General features: G+C 39.9%; 1 protein-coding gene and 1 pseudogene across 15 annotated transcripts in view; both read left to right on the top strand.

Annotated features, from left to right (window-relative positions):
• KIAA0753 overlaps positions 1–20,002 on the top strand; it is a 62,565-nt gene that overhangs the window by 36,666 nt on the left and 5,897 nt on the right. For 8 of the 15 annotated variants that reach the window (XM_011524096.3, XM_011524090.4, XM_011524095.3 and 5 more), the window contains 7 exons: positions 3,588–3,666; positions 4,726–4,809; positions 5,521–5,586; positions 7,703–7,888; positions 8,993–9,074; positions 13,416–13,536; positions 14,043–14,267. In XM_011524096.3, coding sequence (XP_011522398.1) covers positions 3,588–3,666; positions 4,726–4,809; positions 5,521–5,586; positions 7,703–7,888; positions 8,993–9,074; positions 13,416–13,536; positions 14,043–14,267 — 843 coding nt within the window. Of the gene's footprint in view, positions 1–3,587; positions 3,667–4,725; positions 4,810–5,520; positions 5,587–7,702; positions 7,889–8,992; positions 9,075–13,415; positions 13,537–14,042; positions 14,268–20,002 lie in introns of those variants that run through there. The other 7 variants (NR_147086.2, NR_147087.2, NR_147088.2 and 4 more) reach the window with 2 other exon arrangements.
• On the top strand, positions 2,995–3,102 carry RNA5SP435 (RNA, 5S ribosomal pseudogene 435; annotated as a pseudogene).

The raw sequence follows: 20,002 nt of genomic DNA, 5'->3' as shown, positions 1-20,002 counted from the left end.
TGTTCCCACCAGCAGTGTTTGAGGGATCCAGTTGTGCTGCATCTTTGTCAGCACTTGGTGGTGTCACTCTGCTTTTTTGTAGGCGTTCTGATGGGTGTATAGTGGCCTCTGAACATCTTTTCATGTACTTGTTTGCTCTCCACTCAGTCTTTGCTGGCATGTGGCCATGGGTTTTTCTGCAGTGTTTGGCTGCAGTAGAGCAATTATTTTCTAAGTTTTCCATCTTTCTCGGCTGCCCCTTTCTTGGTCCTTTTGATAGAGAGAGCAGACTTTATTTGCACTGAAGACTTATTTTTTGTCTGTGCCTATTGGTGTTTCTGGGTTGCCGGCTTCTCCAGTACCTACTCTGGGAAATATAAGGCAAAGAGAAATCCCAAAGAACTCACTGCTCTGTCATTCTTTTGGTCCCAGTGTCCCTAGGTGATGTGCCTTCTCTACTTCTCTCCGAGTCCTCTTATGTTTGCATATATTTAATGTCCAGGATTCTTAGTTGTAATTAACAGGAAGAAGAGTGGAAAGTACATTTTTCAGCCTCTTCAGAAGCAAAAATCTGAGCATTTCTGCTCATTGGCTTGTTTCCAATGAGAAATCAGAATTGCTTTTTATCCTTCTCTAGAGGCTCACAGACTCTGCTTTCTCCCCAGGGTATCTCAGATTCATAATGATAGGACTTATTGTGGGTGTGTTTTCATTCATCAGTAGACCTTTTAAGCCTGGCAATTTATTTCCTTTAATTCTGAGAAGTTTTCGTGCTTTATTTTGTACTTTTTTTTTCTTGTCTCTGTTTTCTCTATTCTCTGTTTCTGAAACTCCTGTTCTTTGATGTTGGACTTCCTTGATTGGTCCTCTGATTTTCTTATCTGTTTTTTCCTATTTTCTTTTTTCCCTCTTCTACCTCTACCCCTACCCTCCCCCAGTAGGAGATTTCCTCCAACTTTAACATTTAACCTATTGAGTTTGTCATTTCTGCCAGTGTTTAAATTTTAAAATTTAAAAATGTTGAGAGCTCTATTATATTCTCCAAATATCTCTTACTTAGTGGTCGCCTGTCCTTCTTTCATGGATTCAGTGCTGTTTTCTTTCTGAATATATTAACACATTTCCTCTGCCTTTTGACCTACATAATCTTTTTTTTCCTTCCTCAGATACCTAGTAATCTTGGCTATCTTCTCATGTTTAAACGTAGGGGGAGTGATTGCCGATCAAAAACTCAGAGTATGTGGGTTGGAATTAGTATTTTAGTTTTCTAAATAATTGTTTCTATCGTGGTATAATTTACATATAGTAAAATGCAAAGAACTTAAAGGTACAGTTCAATGAATTTTGACAAATGCATATCCCTGGGTAACCAAAACGCTAATCAAGATAGATAATTTGTCCTTCAACCTAGAAAGTACCCACATGTCTTTTTTGGTCGTTCTCTACTCCACACCCCCATCCCTCACGGAGGCAGTTGCTTTGATTTCTTTTACTGTAAGTAGCTTTGCCTGTTCAGACTTTATATGAATAGAATCATCAAGATCTACCCCATTGTGTCTGGCTTCTTTTGCTCAAGAAAATGTTTACGATTCATCCACATTGTGTGTGTATCAGCATAGTTCATCCATTTTAGTGCAGAGTAGTATTCCACTGTGGGAATATACCACATTCTGTTTGTTCATTCTCTTGTGAATTGACATTTGGGCTTTCCCATTTATAGTTAGTATGAATCAAGCTGTTACATACATTCTTGCACAAGGCTTTTTGTAGAAATATGCTTTCATTTCTCTTGGGTAAATGCCTAGGAGTATAATTTCTGGGTAATAGGATAGGCAGTTGTTTGATTTTATTAAATGAGCCATATGCATTATCCAGAGTAGTAGCTTTTTATACTCCCATCAGCAGTGCATGTGAGTTCGTTTCTATTGGTTTCACATCCTTGCTAACAATTGAGCTTGTCAGTCTTTTAGTGATTCTGGTGAGAATGTGGTGGTATCTCTTTGTGGTATTAATTTGTGTTTCCTTGAAGGCGAATGATGTTGGGCACCTTTTCTAGTGCTGATTATGAAGTGTGTGTTCAAGTCTTTTGCCTATTAGAATTTTTTTTAAGTGTTGATTTGAGTTCTTTGTATTTTCTGGATATGAGCCCCTTGCCAGATATGTGTGCAGCAGATATTTTCTCGCAATACTATGGCTCGCCCATAGATCTTTGTAATGGTGTCTTTTGATGACTAAAAGTGTTAAATTCTGATTAAGACCAGTTTATCAATTTTTCTTTTCTGGTTAGTCATTTTTGGTGAACTAGCTAAGAAATCATTGCCTATGTTAGTGTCTCAAGGATTTTCTCTTATGTTTTCCTTTAAGTATTTTATAGTTTTACCATTTATTCTTGTGTCTGTTATCCATTTAGAATTAATTTTTGTGTATGAGATGAAATACTGGTCGAAATTCATTTTCTTTAATGGATATCTGGCTATTCCAACACCATCTGATGAAAGTAACACCTGGACTGTTTGTTAAGGACACTTATGTTGGTCTTTAGGTCTTTCCTTTGGCCTGGGTCAGACTGCCCAGAGAAGTTTTCTGATCTTTGGCCCAGAGAGTAAGATCAGGATGTTGCTTCCTAGGAGCTGAGTTGGGGAAGAGGGCTGTGAGTCTAATAACATAGCATTTAGCCTGCATACGTGACCGCTGCCTCTTTTCAGTATGGTACCTACAGCCTCAACTGTGATTGGGTGCCCCTAGTCAAGAGACCCTCACACAGAGAATGAGCCATCAGACTTCTCCTAGAGTTGGAAAGAGGCGGCTGTATAGTTGTGTGAAGTAGGGAAAGGGATCTAGGAGTCTTAATTTCTCAAACATCATTTGGCTGTTGTCGTCAGTTTTTAAACCACCCCCTCCCAGCTTAGCCCAGGCCTAGATGTACCTGGTACTACCAGTCATGTGCCTAAGTCAGCAGTACAAATTGTGTGGGTTCTAGTTTTTCCCACTGCTGGCCCTAGAAGTCAACTTCCTGTCTACGGCCATACCACCCTGAATGTGCCCGATCTCGTCTGATCTCCGAAGCTAAGCAGGGTTGGGCCTGGTTAGTACTTGGATGGGAGAAGTCAGCTTTCTCAGATCAGCTAAGTTAGTTATCACTTTTGTCCTTTGTTTTCCAGCACCATTTTTTTCTTCCTTATCCTTGTGGGTGTAAAGCTAACTCTATGGTTGTTTTAGTGGGATTTGGAGAGGGAACAAAATTAGTTTCTTTTGTTTAGTTGATTACCCTCTTTAGCTGTTAATGACAACCGTTATTTTTTTTGAAGTGTACTCAGTGCGTTACACACTTCAGATGTTACCTAAATCCCTGTGCATAAAGTAAGGCCTAGGAACAGCACTGTCACATCACCTAGGAGCTTGTTGGAAATGCAGACTCTCAGGCCTTACTCAGACCAACTGAATTGGAATCTACATTTTCACAAGATCCCCAGGAGATTGATATGGCCATGAACGGTTAGAGAAGCTCGTGGTCATTTTATTTCCCTTCTCCTGGAGTGGCAAATAAATATGCAAAATAGGATATTTTATTGCCTTTGATTTTAATTTTCAATTTTATTTCTAAATAGTGTTTCTGCCACCCACTTAGCAGACAAGGTAGAGGAGGCAGTTCTGGATCGTTTGAAGCCTCTCTTGGTCAAGGCCCAGGTAATCTATCTAGTTCGTTTCATTTGCTTGCTTTTTGGAAGTCCTGGATTTAAAATGAGTTGCTGCAGAGGTCTCATTGATCCTTTATAGGGCTAAGTGTCTCTGTGGCATCTGGAAGATACCCCCAGACCACCACACACTACTGATATGCCCTCCATTGTGGAAAAGGGATAGAGATAAAGGGACAAGGGGAAAGTCCTCCTTTTGAGAAAGTTGAGATTTTAGTTTGGGAAACAAGTTGGGATTGTAATCCCTGTTCCGAGTGAAATAGATCTGTTGGTGAAGTTAGTGTTCCATTAGCAGCTTTCACTCGAATGCTGTGTTTTTTCACCTCAGTGGTTTGGAATGATGAGCTCTATTTTTCCAAAGGAGAGAGATGTTAGGACAGCTTCTGTGCACAATCCAGTACTTTCTTGAGGATGAAATTATAGATGGTACCACCAAGAGGTTGTGCCATCCTCCCATAAGCAGTAAGCTCAATTCTATAGCCAGACCCTGTAGCTCCACCCTGTAAATAGAAGCAATCTTGTGTGTATGACTAGATGAGGCCACAGAAGAATATTATAAATTTAAATGGAATGAATGACATTCGGGGTCCCTAAACAGGCCACTGAACTTCTCTATTTTTAGTTAGAGAAATGTTAAATTTGTATTAGAGTCCATGGAAATCTCAGTAGCATAGAACTAGGAAGACTCTTAGAAGTCAAGTAGTCTTGAGCTGTGGAGTGGCTGGAAAAAAAAAAAAGAAATCAAGTAGTTCAACTTCCTCATTTTATCATTGAGGAAGCTGTGGAACAGAGAAGTTGAATGACTTGCATAAAGCATGCAGCTATTCTGACAATGTTTACAGAGTTGAGGGAAGAAAAAGGCTGGAAAGCCAAGATCAACACATGGCATTTGTTTCCATGAAGACAAAGTGCTTTGAATTGCTGCAAAAAGCCTAATGTAGCTAAAGCTGATGAATAGTTCCACACAAGTCATTCTGGTAATAGAATTCATTTGTACTAATAGGAGCTATAAGTCTTTATACTCCATGAATGTATTTGTCTGTTTTAATAGAGAGTCAATTCTACTACAGAAGCAAATATTCATTTGAAAGATGGCTCGTCAGTAAACACAGCGAAAGCCCAGCCTGCACAGGAGGTATGCGTTGTGTGATATTGGCATTCTGGTATTATTGCTTGATAACATCTTTAGTTGTAATGAAAATGAAATACAGATTACTTTGCAAACACTAGATTATCCTACTCAAGAAGTATGAATATTATTTTTCACATTTGGCATGTTAATTCTTCCAGTGTATATTTAGTATTATGACTTAGGTCAGCCCTGCAAACAGAGCACAAAAATCTTACAGCCACAGGTTTTTGTTAGTGGCTCTATCCTTCCTCTGGATAACAGAGTGTGGGTGCCCTGTGTGGCCCTGAATGTTGGTGGCCTGCGGCAGAAGAATGGCTGCCTGCCCTCATTTCCTTTCATTCAGCCTAGTTTCACTCATTATTGTCCTAATTTTCTTTATACTTGGGGCCTAATATTTATTGTTAAGCAAGCATGTTTTGAGTGCCTAATATGTGACCAGTATCTGGTCTAGCAGAGAGAAAAAGGTGACCCAGGAAAAAAATGAGAACATTTGAGAAAAATAAAAGCACATTTTCTTGTTGTCCACTCTGTACTCTTCCTCTGGAGGACCTGTTTTTAATATTTGTAGAAATGTTTCTGCCTTGCCTAGGCTTAGAGCTGCAGAGCAGAAGGTGCAAGTTGCATCCATTTAATCTTTGTGGAGTTTGGAAAGATATTTATAGCTTTAATTGCCCAGAGCAAGGAAAAGAAGCTTCATTCCAACTTCCTTCTTAGGTTTCAGAGCAGAAGGAAATTGGAATGAAGCTCCATTGGCCCAGTGACCTTAGGGGCAGGAAGAAGGTAGGTTTCAAGAATGTGTCCCTATTCTGATTATTAAGCAATATTTCAGCTGTAACATATTTTCATAATCTCTGTGATTATAACTTTATCGTACCAAGGTTTTATGACATAATCTGATGTGAGGTGAGGCTTCTAAGACTGAAAGCTAAAAGCCTACATTTGGCCATTACAAATTCAGCTGTTATGGCTTGGTGTTTTATGCAGCTTGGCCACTAAATGATATATTTTTTTTTCTAGAGGAATAGTAAGGCTAACATTTAACCCAGAGAGGCCACTCCATACTGCACTTTAATATGAAAGGAAAATGAAGTGATTATGAATGCTGGCAGTGAAATAGACATGTTTGAGTATACTAGGAATGATCAGCCTTGTATATTAGAATTATTTTGTAGGCATTACATGATGTTTAATACAATTTATTGAAACAGAAAAGTAACTCTGTGTAGTATTTAGAATTCTGGGCTGTTGTTAAATAGCAGCTTCACTGCAGAGTATTCCAGGCAGCACCGTCAAGAGTCAGTGTTTACAAAGAACTGAATGAAAACAAACAAAAGCAAACAAACTCATCAAAGTTGGCATGGTGAAGAAGAAAACTGTTTTTACTATGTTAACTTATAAAAGACCTGGGAGACCTTGAACACAAATTCTCAGTGTTCTCATCTTTAAAATGGAGGAGACATTTGCAAGTAAAATACAGCTCTCTGTAGATTTACTTATAGGCAAGATTATCTCTCATATCAGGAAAAAGCTCTTGTAAAGGTACCATTATAACGTATCTGTCTATTGCTGCTACTGTTGTCATTAACTGAACTGGCACATGAAGTATATATTTTTCCAAAATGTATGAGTTCTTTTAGAATTAAAAGTTATACATACACATGGCCAAAATTTTAAATAATTCAGAAGAAGTATATGAAAAGTTCCCCACAAGCAGGTGCCATATGCTGTTCTATACTCTGCTTCTTTATTTATAATATATTTTTGTGCTCTTTCTGTATCATTGCATTGAGACCTTCCTTATCCTTTTTAATGGGACATAGTATTTTTGGTGTTCCATTCTTTATAGATGGAAAATATACACATGCAAGCATTATTGGTTGTCTCTTGATTTTTTTGTAATTTTATTATATTGGTTATTCAGTTTGATTTTTATTTCTTTAACTTTTGATGAAAGTTGGACATTTTTTCATATCTTTATTGGCCATTAACATATTTTCTTCTGTGAATCATTAAAGGTTTCTTAAATTGCCGTAGCTGTAACCATTCATTGAGTGTCTTATTTCATGCCGAGCACTATGCTAAGTGTCTCAGCGTGCAAGCTCTTATGAAATCCCTACAGCTCTGAAATACAAGATTATTTCCATATTACACATGAGAGGATTGAGGCCCGGAGAGGTCAAGTAAACTTGCCCAAATTTGCAGGCTTATGAATGGGCAGAACCAGAATTTAATTCTAGAAATATTTCATCCTATTGCCTGATATAATTAATTCCCCCAGCAAACATTCTTTGCAAAAGCCTCTTTCAGGGCAGATTATAAACATGCATTCAAATCAAGAGAAATACAGAGCATGTAAAATTGCTTTGGAAACTGGAAAGTGCTTTTTGAATGTACAACATACCAGGTCAAGAAAGGCTGGTAGAGCTCTCCCAGATGATAGGTACAGAGTTTCAAAGACAAAGAATCCTGAACTTTGTGATGTCATATGAGCAGACGTTTTCACAGAAGCACTGCACCAAAAGAGAATAGTTACATCCTCTGGAATGTGTGACGTGTAAAATATTGGACATTCTCCTGAATGTAGCAAAAGGAAGATATTTGTTCTACCAACTGGAAAAACAGATGATAATGATAATTTGCATGGACAATAATGGTATTACTTGGTTAATGCTATCATTTAAATGACTGTGATAAAAATCATTCTGATGTTATTGCTTTTGATACTTACTGACTTAGGAGAATCTTGTTTTACCATAGAAACTCTGCCATTTGGATCTGTATGCTGTTGGTTTATTATGATTAACAATAATTTTTATGTTTTTCTGTTTTCATTATATCACCTTCCCACCCCTAATCCACCCCATGCCTCTCCTCCCCACCCCACCCCATCTTGTAGGTTGCAGCTGTTGATTTTGAATCCAACAACATTCGTCAGCTTGATGATTTTTTGGAAGATTGTGCCAGTGAGCTCTGGGCTGTGACTCATGCTAAGATCTTGGGGTCTGAAACCTTAGCCACCGTTGAGGACAGCAAGGATAGCCCAGATCTGGAGATCATGATGCGCCGAATGGAAGAGATGGAAGTAAGGTCTGGGGCTCCGGGTCTGGTTCGCTGCTAGGGGCTGGCCTCTGCCGAGTGCAATTTCTCCTCATGCCTCTGCAGCCTCATCTGTTAGAGTCACACAGTCCCAGTTTTAAATCCCTGCTCTATTGCCAACTAACTGTATGACCTTGGTATCGTCAACCCCTCTGATAAGTAGGGAGTTTTAAGGATAAAAAGAGGCATAGAGTATTCAGCGCACTGCTTGCCATGTAATCCAGTAAGTGACCATTATTATTATCCCCCGATATCACTGATGTGTAATTCCGAAGACCCTGAGACCAGGGCCTGGGCCCACAAGTGGAATCGTAGGCTTTTGCATCTGTCAGCTTGTACGTACTGTTCAGTTGCCTCCTCTTCCCAGCTGGAGTGTGATCCTATCAAATCACAGATAATTTTATCTTCTTCAATTTCTGTGATACTGCTTCACCCAGCCTAACCCCTGGATTATTCAGTGCAGGAAAATGAGGTACAATAAGGAAGTAAGTGACATGGCCAAGGTCACAAAAAAATCCTGGCAGAGCCAGAACGAGAATCCAGGTCTCCTGACTCTCAATTCAGCGTTTTCTTTTCCATCGCACCATGATTAAATCTAATTTCTGCTTTGCTGCTAGATAGAAACATTAGAAGGAAAACAATTTTTTTTTTTGGATTTGAAAGTTTAAAGATCCGCAGTTTACCCCAGTCTTGAAATCTCCCCTTGGTGATAGTTGTCTAGGCCCGGGGTGCTCAAAACAGTAGCCACTAGCCGCAGGTGCTTATTAAACTGTAAATTAATGAAAATTAAATACACTCTAAGGAGTCAGTAGTTAGTGGCTACTGTATTGGACAGGGCACATATAGAACATTTCCTCACTGCAGCAGCTTCTAGTGGCCAGTGCTGGGCTAGATTGCCTTTATGCTAATTGCTTCATTTTATTTTAGACTTCGTCTCATGAACTAATTACTTCCTGGCCTGACAGGTGCCCATGTCTGGCAGTACGTCCGTATCAGTTGTGTCTGCTGAACTTTTACATCTTTACCAGTTCTGGTTTGTAATTAAACTCATTTTTTCTCATAAATTAAACTTTTTTCTTTTTTTTTAAAGAAATACCAGGAGTCTGTTCGTCAAAGATATAATAAAATCGCATATGCTGATCCTCGACTTTGGATGCAGGAAGAAAACAATGGTGAGTGTTTCCCCATGTTTTTCCCCTAACATTTTATTCTGAAGAATTTCAAACATACAGAAAATTGAAAAAATTGTATAGTAAACACTGCTATACTCACCTTCTAGATTCTACAATTAACATTTCACTCTCTTTGCTTTGTCACCTATTTATCCCTCTATCCATCCATCAGTTCATCTTATGTTCGCATTTCAAAGTTGCACATATCAGCACACTTTACCCCTAAATATTCAGCATGCTTATTATCAACTAGAGTTTAATATTTACTTATGGCTCTTTTTTTCAAGATAAAATTTACAGATAATAAAATGCACAGATCCTAACTGTGCTATTTGGTGGTTTTTGACAACTGGATACATGTCTGTTATGCAAACCCCTATCAAGACATAGAACATATCACCTCAGAAAGTTCCCTCATGCCCCGCCACGTAGGCAACCACTGTGCTTTCTGAGTTAGCTTTGATTGTCTAGAGTTTCATATAAATGCAGTCATACGGTGTGTACTCTTTTGCCTAGACTTCTTTCATTCACCATAGTGTTTTATAAATACTATATTTATGTCATAAATACATTAAATCTGTGTTGCTTATTTCCTCTTGCTGTTATTAACAAATTTAAGTTTGTAACAAGTTTAAGCCACATATTTGGTGGCTTAAAGCACAAATTTATTCTCCTATAGTTCTGGGGGGGGGGGTCAGAATCTGAAGTGAGTGGTAAAGGACTGAAATCAGGGTGTTGGCAAGTTCATTCTGGAGGCTCCAGGGAAGGATCTATTCCTTGTTTCTTTCAGCTCCTAAATTTTGGGCTATTAGGAATAAATCTGCTATGAATATATTCATGTGTATAATCTGTGTGTATATCTTAAGTTTTTCTCTTGGATAAATACCTAATAGCAAACTTGCCAGATCATTAGATTAGTTTGTGTTTAACTTCATAAAAAATTGACAAATCTTTATCAAAGCGGCCTTGCTCCTATTTCCTACATCCTTGCCAACATTTGGTGTCATCAGTCTTTTTTGTGGTAACCATCCTGGTGAAGGTGAATAATGATATTTAGAACCTTTTCAAGTGATTTTTTTTATTTTTTGAGTCACAGTTTCACTCTGTTCCCCAGGCTGGAGTGCAGTGGTGCAGTCTCGGCTCACCACAACCTCTACCTCCCGAGTTCAAGCGATTCTTGTTGCCTCAGCCTCCCAAGTAGCTGGGACTACAGGTGTGTGCCACCACGCCCAGCTAATTTTTTAATTGTAGTAGAGACAGGGTTTTGCCATGTTGGCCAGGGTTTCGCCATGTTGCCTTCAGGTGACACACCCACCTCGGCCTCCCACAGTGCTGGGATTCCAGGTGTGAGCCATTGCGCCTGGCCTCCTGAAGTGCTGGGATTCCAGGTGTGAGCCATTGCGCCCTGCCTCCTGAAGTGCTGGGATTCCAGGTGTGAGCCATTGCGCCTGGCCTCCTGAAGTGCTGGGATTCCAGGTGTGAGCCATTGCGCCCTGCCTCCGGAAGTGCTGGGATTCCAGGTGTGAGCCATTGCGCCCGGCCTCCCGAAGTGCTGGGATTACAGGCGTGAACCACTGCTCCCGGCCTCCCGAAGTGCTGGGATTCCAGGTGTGAGCCATTGCGCCCGGCCTCCCGAAGTGCTGGGATTACAGGCGTGAACCACTGCTCCCGGCCTCCCGAAGTGCTAGAGTTACAGGCATGAGCCCCGTCACCTGGCCCCTTTTCAGGTGATTATTAGGCATTTGTATATCTTCCCTTGTGAAGCGTCCAAAATCTTTTGTCAGTTTTTTTTTGGGGTTGCTTGTCTTTTTGAGTCATAGAACTTCTTTATGTATTCTGAGTACAAGTTCTTTTCCAGATACATGTTTTTGTTTGTTTTGTTGTTTTTCTAAAATAATTTTAAGGAGATAATTTACATACTTAAATTTCACCTTTTTAAACTGTACAATTCTTTCGTTTTTAGTATATTCACATAGTTGTGCAACTAATTCTGGAACATTTTCCTCACTCCCCATTCTTCTTTCTCCCACCCGGGCAGCCACCAGTCTACTTAGATAGAGGTTTTACAAATTTTTTTTTTCCCATGGAAAAAAAATGGGCTCAGCTGCTTATTTCCAAAAATGTTTTATTATGAACAGACATTTTTAATTTTGATAAAGTCTAACATCAATTCTTTCTTGAGTGGTTTTTGCTTTCTATGACCTAAGAAACCTTTACCTACTCCTAAGTGGGAAGAGATTCTCTTGTTTTCTTCTATAGGCTTTATGGTTTTAGTTTTATGTGTAGGTCTATGATCCATCTTGCATAAAAGTTTGCCTGTGATTTGAGGTAGAGGTTGGGGTTCATTTTGTTTTTTCCTAATGGAAGTCCATGTGATCTAGTTCCATTTACTGAAAAGACTTTTGATTTTCTCCTCCACTTTTCAAAATGTATATATATGTATTTGGGCTGCAATGGCTAGGTTACTGTCACCACTTTGGCTGGGAAACGTTACTCAAATTCTGTTTGACTTGTGCTTATCGGTTACTGCCTTACTCAAGAAAAGGAGAGTAAAGTGTGGTTAAACATTACCTCTAAGGAATGTAAGCGCCGTGAGTACTACCCTCATGAAGACAAAAGGAAATGGGGGATGGAAGGTTTACCACAGCAGCCTGTGTCGCATGTCATCATGTAAAATAGGACTTGGAGGTATCGTGTTAGAAAAAGTACTCCCCCTCTCAAATTTTGACCAAAAGATGGGCCATCTCAACAAAACACTAATGTGTTACCTTTTGTGTGCTCTCTGTTTTCAAGTGCTCTGTGCTTTGCTACTGTTGTTCTCTCTTCCCCTCAATCCTCCTCCAGCCTCTATTTTCATTCTCACATAACAGTCAAGCTGTTCTTCAAGGCCAGGCTCAATGATCCTACTCGGCCTGTGCTTTCCCTGGCATCTCTGCACTGGAATTTAGTTCCCTTCCTGGCCTGTGAACACCCATAGCACTTTCTGGCATGTCCTACCATGTGTTCGAGGTATTTGTGAAGGTGTCTCATCTCTCTCAACTAAGCCACAGATTCTTTGAAAGCAGAGAGTTTGTCATTGTGTGTTCCTCACTGTGCCTAGAATGGGACTGGCCCGGCAAGGGCCCTTTTCATCATTGTTTAGTCAGCCCTTGGGCATTTTAGCATCTTTCTGTGTGGAAGCCGAGGAGAGGTAAACGTTGGAGGGCAATTCGTTTCCCTGATGGTTTGGCCACTGGCCACAAAGTTAGGTTGCATCATGTAGAAGACAGTCTTACAGAGGACTTAGTGTTCTCTTTTTTCAAGGATGATTTAAATTATTAGTCACTATCTGTGACTCTGCCGAGAGTCTAGGTATGCATTTAAAAGGAGCTCTCTAGGACACTGAGAACTGAAATGAGGTTTTGGACACATTCTGGAATCATGGAATCGTAGTAAGAGTTCCGTTTCTGGTGGTTCTGTTTGTTTAATTTCATCACAAAACCCAATTTAAAGTGATCTTTTCATTGTGCAGTATCTGTGTCTGTTATCCCCTCTGAGAACAATTGAAAATTTGATTGCACTCTCAGTAATAGTTTTACAAAAGCTGACTTATATCGTACTTCTGTCTGACAGCAAGAAATTAAGCATATAAATGTGAGCCAAGTCGCTTGACATATAGATGCTCCCTACTTAAGAAAAGGACAAATTTTCTTCCTACACTTGAAATACATTTAAAATTATAAATAATCTGACACTCAGAAGAGCTGTCAAGCCTGCAAGTTATAGTTAATAAATTAATGTTTTGACAATCATCATGCAGATTTTTTCAGCATTGCCCAGAGACAAATTAAATCAACTAATTAAGTGTTCAGGTGTGAGTGTTTTCTTCTTCTTCTTCTTCTTCTTCTTCTTCTTCTTCTTCTTCTTCTTCTTCTTCTTCTTCTTCTTCTTCCTTCTTCCTTCTTCCTTCTTCCTTCTTCTTCCTTCTTCTTCCTTCTTCTTTCTTCTTCTTCTTCTTCGCATTTAAAGGTTAAAAAACCCAATTGCTTAAGACTCCTTGAGTGGGTGGCTGGGTCCTAATGGAAGCCATGTAGCCTGGGGCTTTTCATAGACCTCCTTAAGAAACCTTCCTCAGAGCAAGTTCATTATTTCTTAAAACGTATTCCTCATTGGTTTCTTTGTAACATATAAATTCACCTTTGCATTTAAAATGAGCATTTTCCCATTGCACTGCTAGCCAACCCTGTCGTGCTTAAGAGATGTCCATGTAACTTGCTCTCAGGTTCTTGGCCACTAGAACAGCTCTAAAATGGACACCAACTGTTCTTTATATGCAGTCATTTTATGACCCTCCTTTTCTAGACCAAAAAATCTCAGCAATAAGTGAAAAGCCTCTATCTCCTCATCCAATCAGAATCACGAAGACAGTGGATCGCAAGGATCCAGCCGTGAACATCATGTTAGAAAGGCCCTGTAATGGCAAGTAAGTGGCAAAGACACTTTCTGATTTCATTCTAGTCAGTCACCTTTGATGTTATTAGATTTTGAATTCTTTCAGTTCCCATAAGACAGACAGAAATTCTTCCTTTGAGCAAGATCTTGCCAAACTCCAAGATGGCTGAGTAAATAGCATGTTTACAAGATGGGCATTGAGTGTGTTGCATTTTAAGGAGCTTTTCCGTATTCAATAACATTTAGCTGTTTTTTTAATGTGGAAAGCATCACATCAGTACATGTGGGTTGTAGTGATATTTACTGCACGATTTGCTTTAAGAATGCTGTTGTTTAAGGGACAGATAGTCCCACATGTTGAGGGTTGGTTCCGTGAAAAGGGGAAGCAACGCATGGTGTTAGGTTGTTCAGTTTTGTTCATTGTGAGAAAGAGAAATCAAGATGAGCCTTTGGCTATCAAACCATGAGGGTAAATTAACAGTTTAGTCTTGCTTACAGATGATCTTGAATGCTTTCATCATTTTTATTTGTTCTCAGTTCCCTGGATGAAAGTGTGGGAACAGAGGAAGGATCAGAGAAAAGAGAGGCCCCTCTTCTCTCCCTAGCCGAAGATTCTCAACAGAAAGAAGGCCGAGCTCCCCTCTTTGTCCCACCGGGTATGCAGCACAGCATCGGTGACTACTGTAGTCGTTTTGAGCAGTACCTTCGGATCATATCTCATGAGGCTGTAGGCTCCTTCAACCCGTGGCTGATAGCTGAAAGGTCAGTAAAATGTTACGGTCCTCTGTTTAGGAACCAAATTGCAAAATTTTAGACTTAGAAAAAGCTGGAGAAAGCATTAGCCAAGGTCTTATCCCATATGCTTTTGGGCCCTGGAGTTTCAGTGGTTGTTCTTGGGCTAGGAGACAGGCTCTCTATTTTCAGACACAGGGAACCGTAAAACAGCACAGGCGGTGCCATCCACAGGGGTGCTCTGCAGCCTTCTTTTTCTAGGCAGAGGGTCCCAGTCAGCTCAGGCTGTCATCACAGAATACCATCGGGTTCTAGTCAGCTCAGGCTGTCATCACAGAATACCATCGGGTTCTAGTCAGCTCAGGCTGTCATCACAGAATACCATCGACTGCGTGACTTAAACAAGAATGTATTTCTCACAGTTCTGGAGGCTGGGGAGTCTAAGATCAAGGTGATGGCAGATTGAGTGTCTGTCGAGGGCCCTCTTCCTGGCTTGCAGATGGCCACCTTCTTGCTGTGTCCTCAAGTGACAGAGAAAGGGAACTGTGGTCTCTTCCTCTTCTCAGAAGGGCACTGATCCCATTGAGGGACCTCCACCCTCATGACCTCATCTAAACCTAATTATCTCCCAAAGGCCCCACCACAGATACTACCACATTGGGGGTTAGGGCTTCAACATACGAATATGGGGGAAACACAGACATTCAGCCCCTAACAATAGAAGTACAATACTCAGGAGTCAGTTAGAGCTGATTTCCTGTTGCTGTTAATGCTAATGTTGTCCCATCAGAGAACACAAAATATTCCTGGGCAGGAAACAGCCATGACCATGGCATGTTCTTGGTGGGGACAAATTTGCTTTTATCAGTAGCAGGCCTCTGATTTTGCAACATTTTCTTTAACCCTTCTCCTCCTTTCTTTATGTGGGTAAGGTAGTTTTGTGGAGTCACAAAACAAGATCCTGTAGCTACTAAATTTTGAAGAATGGGTAGCCCTTTTTTTATGTACAAATAATTAAAAGATAGGTGTAAATCTATTCTTTTTAAACAGGGCCCACATTTAAATTCCTCGCAAGTTATCACCTTGTTACAAACATGCAAGATATTTTTCATCATTGAGCTAAGTAGTATACTATAATTACATTTATATAGTAGCATAGTAGTGTACTATGATTACATTTCTTTTTATTTGCTAGTTATTTTATATATTTGTTAACTTTACGTACGCAGTAGCCAGCCTCTCAATAATATAATTTTTGTCTGGATCAAAAGTATCAGTTAATCTCTGTGATCGGCCCCACCCTTACTTTTTCTCCTGAGACCCCTTTTCCTCCTACCTGAGTCCAGGCGGCTGCTCTCCAGATCTCCTGGATGGTTTTCATCCTGGGGCTTCCCTTCCTCATCACCCTTCCTGTTAGCTTACGTCTCCCTGTAATAGATTCCCTGTTTTCTGATGCCCTTGTCTTCCGCTTTCTTGGTTTACACTCTTATTTTGATGGCGCATATCCTGTTTTGTGTATTGGAGGAAATTTCTTGAAACTTACAAGTGTGAAAGTGTCTCCCTTCATACTTGATTGATTACTTGGCTGAATTTAAAATTACTGGTTTATTTTTTCCAAAGAATATACCTTCCTTCTTTTGTGGGGGTGAGGAAGGGATTGTCACTTAGCTGCGAATAGGGGTGGAGTGTGTCAGTCCAACAGCTTGTTCTGCAAATTTTCAGCCAGTCTCCTCATTTTCTACCCCATACTGCACTCTGCCTTCATGATTCTCAGCACTCTTAACTTCCTGAGCCTTCACGATGTTTTATAGGACAAATCAGCTTGTTTTTGCCTGGCATCCCTCCCACCCCCACTTACAGACTCTTAGGTTTCAGCTCCCTCTATGCTGCTAAATCAGTTATGATTCTTCTGTGTGCGTTTATCTTCTGAAAATCTTGGGCATTTCTCACTCACGTGTGTCTCTTTTTGTAGATTTATGTATTTATTTATTTCCTTGTATTCAAGTGGGATTTTGGGTGGGATCAGGGATAATCACTTGTGTTTAGGCCCTCAGGTTGACCCTGAAGTCCTGAGACTTTTCTTTGGTATATATGATAGTACCCTTCAAAGTATATAAGATGCTTTGTTCTGGTAGAGACACAAATTTGTCTTCACATGTATTCTGAAGGATTATCTGGGAGAAGAGAAGAAGTAAACGCGACTTGCTTCCTTTTGTTAACACGCGCTCCTGTAGCATATGTACTCATTTTCTTGTAACCTGTCTGGCTTGCTTAGGCTAACCAGGATATTGGGAAACCCAAAAGCAAGCCAAGGAAGATAGACTGTTCCTTGTGTGTTCTTACCACCTGATCAAATGACACATTTTGTTCACAGTTGTTAGGTGGATGTAGGGAAAATCTCTCAGCCTATAAAGAATAACAGGTTAAAATGTAGAGGACAGAGCTATTAAAATATGCCTGGATTTTTACAATATTTTCCTCTGCTGTTCTTTGACCCCAAGTGACAGTGCATATGAACAGTCTAGCTCTGTTTCATTTTTATCTCTTCTTTTTTTATTATTTTATTTTATTTTATTTTAGATGGAGTCTCACTCTGTCACCTAGGCTGGAGTGCAGTGGTACAATCTCGGCTCACTGCAACCTCCGCCTCCTGGGTTCAAGTGATTCTCCTGCCTCAGCCTCCTGAGTAGCTAGGATTACAGGTACTGGCTACTACACCTGGCTAATTTTTGTGTTTTTAGTAAAAGGGTTTCACCATGTTGGCCAGGCTGGTCTCGAACTCATAACCTCAGGTGATCCACCCGCCTCAGCCTCTCAAAGTGCTGGGATTACAGGCATGAGCCACTATCTCTTCTTTTTTAGTTTATGATTTGAATATTCCAAAGATGAGAGTTATATTGATCAGATCTTTAAAAAGCATCCAAAGACAGTTGACTTCATCTAAAGCCTCTTGGGTAAGGAGAAAGCTGAGTTTTTTCCTTTCTTTTAATGTCTTTATTCCTCTTTATACCTGAAGAAAAGCACTGTTCCAGCAATTAGCTTGAGCAGGTGATATAAACTGAATGCAAATAAAAGAGTGATATGAAAGGAAAGGCTTAAGGTGACAGTGCTCTTATTGAAAGCAAACTCTTAAGAATTCCTGGCTTGAAAAACAATCAAGTGAATTCTGGTTGAAAAGGACAGATGAATGTATATGTTTCTCTTTACTTCCTATATCTCTATCCCACTATATGTCACTACAAGAATGAATAAAACACATGAAACCATCAATGACAGCAAACAAGAAATATCAATAAAAATTTGGAAGCCATAAAGCAGTTAGACAATGGTGACTGACTTAGCAGGCTAGAGAAAGCTAAGTGCCTAATGAGGATGAAGGCAAGAACCAAGTTTATCTGTAAAGAACATTGGTTGAGACTCAGGAATTAGAAGCATCAGATGCTTGTGAATGCATGGGTGTAGGTGTATTGGGCCATTCTTGCATTGCTATAAATACCTGAGACTGGGTAATTTATAACGAAAAGAGGTTTCATTAGCTTACAGTTCTGCAGGCTTTACAGGAAGCATGGTGCTGGCATATGCTTGGCTTCTCGGGACACCTCAGGAAACGTACCGTCATGGCAGAAGACAAAGTGGGGAACAGTCACATCACATAGCAAAAGAAGGAGCAAGCAAGGGGTGGGGGAGAATGCCACACACTTTTAAATGACCAGATCTCATGAGAACTCACTATCATGAAGAAAGACAGCACCAAAGCATGAGGGATCCTCTCCCGTGATCCAAACACTTCCCACCAGGCCCCACCTCCAGCAGTGGGGATTACAGTTCATCATGAGATTTGAGCGGGAACAAATATACAAACTGTATCAATAGATGAGTCAGGAAATAGGAGGCTTGGTTGACATTCTTATTTTTGAAAATGAGCAGATGACCTGAGATGACCAGATATTTGATAAAAGATACATAGGCTATTATATCAGATAAGCACTCTGAGGAAGCAAAGCAGACAATACAGTGAGAAGAATAAAACATTAAAAACAGACTAGAATTAATATTCTCAGAGAGCTAAGTGAAACTGTTATATCATGAAACAAGAACAGGATACTATAAAAAAGGAACTTCCAGGGAATAAAAAGAAAGTTCTTAGAAATTAAAAACATGATGGCTCAAGTAAACTCACTGGAAGGATCCAAAGAAAATGTCAAATGTCTCAGGCAGTAGAATAAAAAGACAAGAAGCTAGATAATAGAGAATAAAATATTTTTAAAATTAGAAGCCGTTCTAGGAGATTCAACATCTGAATCACTGGAGTTCCAGAATGTGGGAAAAAGGAAAAAGGAGCAATGGGAAATTATCAGAGAAATGCTATAAGAAAATTTCCCAGAAGACTGTTAGTCTTTAGATTGAAAGGGTTCATCAGTTGTCTACTTGTGAGTGAGTGAGTGAAGGAATAAATGAATAGAACAGAACACACCATGGCACATCATTATGAAAAGGAAATTTGAGCATCTCAATATAAGGAAAAGAAAGATGACAAAAGATTCCAGAGGGTAAAAACTGTACACATTCAAATAATCAGAAATGAGAATGGCATATTGTTTTTAATAACACCAGAAGCTAGAAGATATTAGAGCCTACTTCCAAAATTTAACCTAGCATGTGCTCAGATAAATTATCAATTAAAGATAAGGGCAGATAGAATAGAAACATTTTTAGGGCCCGGGTATGGTGGCTCACATCTAATCTCAGCACTTTGAGAGGCTGAGGCAGGAGGATTGCTTGAGCCCAGGAGTTTGATACCAGCCCAAGGTGAGACTTCTTCTCTACAAAAAACAAAAAATTAGCTGGGCATGGTGGTACATGCCTGTAGTCCCAGTTACTCAGGAGGCTGAGGTGGGAGGATTGCTTGAGCCCAGGAAATCAAGGCTGCAGTGAGCTGAGATGGCACCACTGCACTCCAAACAAAAACACATTTTCAGGTGGGCAAAGTGTTTAAAAATTTAGTTCACATGCTACTGGAAGATCTAGATTACCAATGCAAGATGTACATAAAGAGGAAGACTTGAGTTTTAGTAAACTTAGACTCTACCGTGGAACTTCCAGAAGAATGGCAAAAACCTTTCCAGGACAAGATTTTTCAGTGAGCATAGAAAAGAACTAATCCAGATTAGAGTAGTGGGAAAGAGCACTCCAGCAGGGATGGTTCCACAAGGGGAAATGCAGAACGGGGAAGATTAAAGAAGGAAGAAGAAGAAGAAAAACAGATACAGTACCTAATGTGTTGGAATGTAGCAGAAGTACCCTTGTATTTCTCTCACAGTTTGGGTATAAATTAGTGATAGGAATATAGAAAGTGAAGCAAACATAAAAACGAGGCAATCACTTCTGCTTCTAGTGATGACGCACTTGGTAATCTGGACCACCTCTCCCACTGAGGATAACTGTTAATAGAAAAGCTGTATTAAAAATAAAACCTATATTCTTGAAGGCATCAAGAAGTTAACTAGGTAATGAAGAATAACTGGGCCAGGGTCCTGGAGAAGACAGAGCCCTGGGGAGGTTAGCCCTTTGTTGAGCACTGGATAGTCAGTTTGTAGGGAGATGAGCAGCACTTCTGACAGCCTTTTCAGAACAGAGGACAGAGGCTGGAATTCACGGGTTGCTAAAGTGGGGGAATTGTCCTGGTGAACTTTCTTCACTTTTAATTGAGCTCCTAAAAGATTGCACTCTGGAAGTACAGGTGACCTGGATGTAAATAGGCCTTC

This window comes from Homo sapiens, chromosome 17 (genome assembly GCF_000001405.40).
Source record: "Homo sapiens chromosome 17, GRCh38.p14 Primary Assembly".
Taxonomy (NCBI): domain Eukaryota; kingdom Metazoa; phylum Chordata; class Mammalia; order Primates; family Hominidae; genus Homo; species Homo sapiens.
The sequence above is the reverse complement of the archived record's forward strand: the minus strand, read 5'-3'. Positions and strand labels throughout refer to the sequence as shown.